Source organism: Homo sapiens, chromosome 7 (assembly GCF_000001405.40).
Source record: "Homo sapiens chromosome 7, GRCh38.p14 Primary Assembly".
In the NCBI taxonomy this organism is placed as follows: Eukaryota; Metazoa; Chordata; class Mammalia; order Primates; family Hominidae; genus Homo; species Homo sapiens.
This window is the reverse complement of record NC_000007.14, coordinates 77,249,021-77,252,802: the sequence shown is the minus strand read 5'-3', so window position 1 is coordinate 77,252,802 and position 3,782 is coordinate 77,249,021. Positions and strand designations below refer to the sequence as shown.

At 38.8% G+C, this 3,782-nt stretch overlaps 1 protein-coding gene across 9 annotated transcripts in view; it reads right to left on the bottom strand.

Annotated features, from left to right (window-relative positions):
* CCDC146 (coiled-coil domain containing 146) overlaps nucleotides 1–3,782 on the bottom strand; it is a 172,590-nt gene that overhangs the window by 42,402 nt on the left and 126,406 nt on the right. The window lies entirely within an intron of this gene.

Sequence of the window (3,782 nt, the reverse complement as noted above, 5' to 3'; positions counted from 1 at the left end):
CTGTGCTATGAGTGAGAAACAAAATTCCATTGAGTTCTTCTGCTGAGATTTTAAGATTTGTTCTTATTGCATAGTCTAGCTGAAGCCTAACTTCTCCTTTTCTTATTCTGTATACCGTTTCCACAGTGCCAGTTACAGTGATGCGTTAAACATCCTTATTTCCAGTTCAGAATTTCCCTGGAGCTCCAAATTTTTATGTTTAATTTCTTACTGGGCAATTCCAGTTGTGTATATCAAAGGCCCATCAAATTAAAACTCATTATCTTCCCATCTGAAACCTACTGTTTTTCTATTCCTTCTTTTGGTAATGGCATTTCAATTCACTTAATTTTCAAAATTATAAACATGAGCGTCATTCTTGAAGCCCGTTTCTTGCTTCTTTCAAGATTTTTTCTTCATTTTTAATTTTCAAGTTTTACTGTGATGCATTTGGAACATATTTCTTTGAGTTTACCCTGTTTGGGGCTCATTGAGCTTTTTGAATCTGTGGACTTTTCTTTCACCAAACATGGGGAGTTTTCAGCCATTACTTCTTCCAATTTTTTTCATAATCATATACCTTCTCTTCTCTTACTGCAACTCCAGTGACATAAATTAGATATTTTGTTATTGTCTCATGGATGCCTATAGATCTGTTTTTGTTTGTTTGTTTTTGAGATGGAGTCTCGCTCTGTTCCCTAGGCTGGAGTGCAGTGGCATGATCTCGGCTCACTGCAACCTCTACCTTGTGGGTTCCAGCAATTCTCCTGCCTCAGCCTCCTGGATAGCTGGGACCATAGGCACGTGCCACCACGTCCAGCTAATATTTGTATTTTCAGTAAAGACGGGGTTTCACCATGTTAGCCAGCCTCGTTTTGAACTCCTGACCTCAGGTGATCTGCCTGCCTCGGCCTCCCAAAGTGCTGGGATTACAGGCGTGAGCCACTGCGCCCGGCCATGGATCTGTTCATTTTTATTCAAAATTTTTTTCTCTCTGTTCAGATTGGACAATTTTTATCTTCAAATTTACTGACATCTGTGTGAGAGAAAGAGCACAAGAGCGAGCGAGCAAAAGAGACTTTTTAATTCTCTTGAGAATCACAGCTCCAAAGGTTCCCTTCCCCCAGAATTTTGGCTCCTGTGGGCTCCCATTACATATGACCTCTGCTACTGAGACCTAATCACAACACTGTAGAATGCTCCCCTCCCTCCACACCTTACCACCATGTTCCTGAAGTCCTATTTAAAGCAATTCCTTTTACCCAGTACATCGTGTCTGGCTATCAAGAAAAAAACTGCAAGGCACACTGAAAGGCAAAAAACACAATCTGAAGAGACAGAGCAACCATCAGAACCAGATATGGCAGGGATGTGTGAATTATCAGGAATTTAAAACAACTATGACTAATAGGCTAAGAACGCTAACAGATAAACTCAATCCCGAAATGGGCAGTTTAAGTAGAGAGAAGGAAATTCTAAGAAATAATAAAAAAGAAATACTCAGCCAGGCATGGTGGTTCATGCCTGTAATCCCAGCACTTTGGGAGGCTGAGGCGGGCAGATAACTTGAGGTCAGGAGTTCAAGACCAGCCTGGCCAATATGGTGAAATCCCATCTCTACAAAAAATACAAAAATTAGCTGGGCGTATTGGCGGCCACTTGTAATCCCAGCTACTCAGGAAGCTGAGGCAGGAGATTATCTTGAACCTGGGAGGCAGAGGTTGCAGTGAGCCGAGATTGTGCCACTGTACTCCAGCCTGGACAGAGTGAGACTATGTCTCAAAAACAAACAACCAAACACACACACACACACACACACACACACACACACACACACACACACACACACAAATACCAGAGATCAAAATCACTGTATCAGAAATGAAGAATGCCTCTAATAGGCTTACTAACAGAACGAACTTGGCTGAGGAAGGAATCTCTGAGCTTGAGGATATCTTACTAGACACTACCCAAACTGGAAAAAAAAAAAAAAAAGACTAGGAAAATACCAGAATATCCAAGAACTCTGGGACAACTACAAAAGGCATAAATACTCATAAGAGGAATACCAGGAGAAGAAAGAAAGGAACACGAGAAATTCCTGAAGCAATAATGTCTGAGAATTTCCTTCAAATTAATGCAGGAAAATAAACTACAGATCGAGGAAGCTCAAAGAACACTTAGACATATCATATGTAAATTACAGAAAGTCAAAGATAATGAAAATTCCTGAGAGAAGTTACAGGAAAAACACACTTACCTATGGAGGAACAAAGAATTACATCCGATTTCTCCTCAGAAGCCATACATGCAAGAAGAGAGTAGAGTGAAATATTTAAAGTGTTGAGAGAAAAAACCACCAAACTAAAGCTCTGTACCTTGTGAAATTATTCTCCAAAGTAAAGGAGAAATAAAGCCTTTCTCAGATAAAAATTGAGGACATTTGTTTGTCAATAGACCTGCTTTGCAAGAAATGTTAAAGGAAGCTCTTTAGAGGGAAGGAAAATTATATAGGTCAGAAACTCAGTTCTACACAAATGAAGAGCATTAGCTATGGAATCAGTGAAGGTAAAAGAAAAGCTTTTGTCTTATTCTTGAGATACTCGATAACACTGTTCAAATTTATAACAGCAGCAATGTATTCAATTACATATGCATATATATTTATGTATGCCCATGTGTAAGTGAAATGAATGACAGCAATGATACAAGGGATAGGAAGGAGGAATAGGACTATTTTGTTACTTAAAAAGTACTTGAAGTGGTATAGTGTTATTTGAAAATGGTCTTAAATTAGTTGTAAATGTATATTGCAAACTCCATGGCAACCACTTAAAGTAAAAAAAGATGTACAACTGATATACTAAGAAAGGAGAGAAAATGGAATTATATTAAATGCTTAGTTAAAACCACAAAAGGCATAAAAAGAGAGAACAAAAACAGGAATGAAGAACAAGCACAACAAATAGAGAACAGTGAAAATATGGCAGAAGATATTAACCCAACTACAACAGTAATCATTTTAAATGTCAGTTAAAAGATTGTCACAATGGATCCAAAAAGAAAAACAAACAAACAAAAACAAGACTCAAATTATATGCTGTGTTTGCCAATAATCCAGTTTAAATATAAAGACACATATATATTAAAAGTAAATGGATAGAGAAAGATATGCCATGCTAACATTAAAAAAAGATGAGTCACTAAATTAATTTCAGACAGAACGAACTTCAGAGCAAGAAAAAGTTATCAGAGACAAAGAGGGGCATTATATAATGATAAAAGAGTCAATCCTCTGAGAAGACCTAATGAATTCTTTTTTTTTTTTTTTTTTTTTGAGACAGAGTCTCAATCTGTCGCCAGGCTGGAGTGCAGTGGTGCGATCTCGGCTCACTGCAACCTCCGCCTCCTGGGTTCAAGAGAATCTCCTGCCTCAGCCTCCCGAGTAGCTGGGACTACAGGTGTGCACCACCACGCCCAGCTAATTTTTGTATTTTTAGTAGAGACAGGGTTTCACCATGTTGGCCAGGATGGTCTTGATCTCGACTTCGTGATCTGACTGCCTCAGCCTTTCAAAGTGCTGGGATTACAGGTGACAGCCACAGCGCCCGGCCAGTGGATTCTTAATATATTTGCACCTAACAACAGAACATCAAAATACATGAGGCAAAACTGATAGAAGTGCAAGGAGAAGTAGATGAATCCACTCTCACAGCTGGAGACTTCAACATCCCTCTATCAAAAGTGCACAGATCCAGAAGTCAGAAGATCAGTTAAGGACATAGTCAAACTCAATAATCCCA